We start from the raw sequence: 1594 nt of genomic DNA on the forward strand, positions 1-1594 counted from the left end.
TGAGGTCAGGAGTTCAAGACCAGCCTAGCCAACATGGTGAAACCCAATCTCTAACAATAATACAAAAAAATTAGCCGGGCATGGTGGTGCACACCTGTAATCCCAGCTACTCGGGAGGCTGAGGCAGGAGAATTGCTTGAACCCGGGAGGCAGAGGTAGCAGGGAGCCGAGATCGTGCCACTGCCCTCCAGCCTGGCCAGGCGACAGTGAGACTCTGTCTCAAATAAATAAATAAATAAATAAATAAAGTTAATTTAATAAAGTTCATTTGTATGAAAATATTTTGAAATATTTTTAATAGTACTTGACCAATGGCTTCCAAAAGGGAGTTAATAATGATCTGTCCAGTGTTCTCATCTTTTGAGATACAGGCTCATGACCTTGGAAGGGTGGCAATCATAGAAGATATGTCCTCTGCAGTGTGAAGTTTCTGACACTGGTTTACATGAGTATGATTAGCAGTGTACTGTGGTATTCAGTGAAGCTGGCCAACAGTGTAAGCATTCCAAAGTTCATGCTTTGGCCTGGAGGACCTGAGTCACAATGACTGACGCAAGACAGTATTGCCCAGAAGTTATGGGCTGGTGGGCTGATTAATGGTCTCAGCATGAAGCTTTGGGTCTCTAACCCTGACAGATCATTAGCTCCCAGCAAATGTCCAGCCTCTGAAGGTCGTGGTTATTATTACAAACCAATAGATACATGAATTACATAAAACAAAGCAAATGACCTTTTTATGTGCTAGGGATATTTAAAAACTAAGCTGTATATTTCCGTGAATACAGAGTCTGTTTGGAGCATAAATCTTTGCTGAACTTTCACAAAGCAAAAGCAGAGACTGAAGAACCATACTTCACTGTTAATGTCTCATTAAATTTTAACCACTGCAGTCATGGTTAAGGAGATATTTTTATTATAATCCAGCATTTTCAGGACCTTACAATTTAACTTAGTTCCACATTCTCTTTTGGTGAATTAATTATTTTTATATTGGTCTCTCACTCAAGAAATATGAATGTTTGAAGTTTGATAAAACTTAATCAGTACTTAAGGTAATTTAAATGTTAGAAAAGAGAAAATCCTCACATACAGAGTAATATATTATTATATGGGGAAACTATTAAGCCCCTATTGGGAACAAACATTGTTCAGCCTCTGTTTCTCTGTTGAGTACAGTATGTTTCAGTGAAAAATACATACGGTACCACCATAAACTGGTGGTATGTAAGGCCAGGCACTGTGGCTCACACCTGTAATCCCAGCATCTTGGGAGACCGAGGCAGGCAGATTGCTTGAGCTCAGGAGTTCAAAACCAGCCTGGGTAACATGGTGAGACCCTGTCTCTACCACAAGTACAAAAATTATCCAGGTGTGGTAGCACATGCCTGTGATCCCAGCTACTCAGGAGGCTGAGGCGGGAGGCAGGAGGATCGCTTGAGCCCGGGAGGCAGAGGTTGCAGTGAGCCAAGATCACGCCACTGCACTCCAGCCGGGGTGACAGAGGGAGACCCCATCTCAAAAATAAAACAAAACAAACAAACAATCAGAAACTCTATAGTATGTGAAAAGGAAACCAAAAGCACTACTGGAATCA

The sequence above is a fragment of the Homo sapiens genome, chromosome 11 (genome assembly GCF_000001405.40).
Source record: "Homo sapiens chromosome 11, GRCh38.p14 Primary Assembly".
Taxonomy (NCBI): domain Eukaryota; kingdom Metazoa; phylum Chordata; class Mammalia; order Primates; family Hominidae; genus Homo; species Homo sapiens.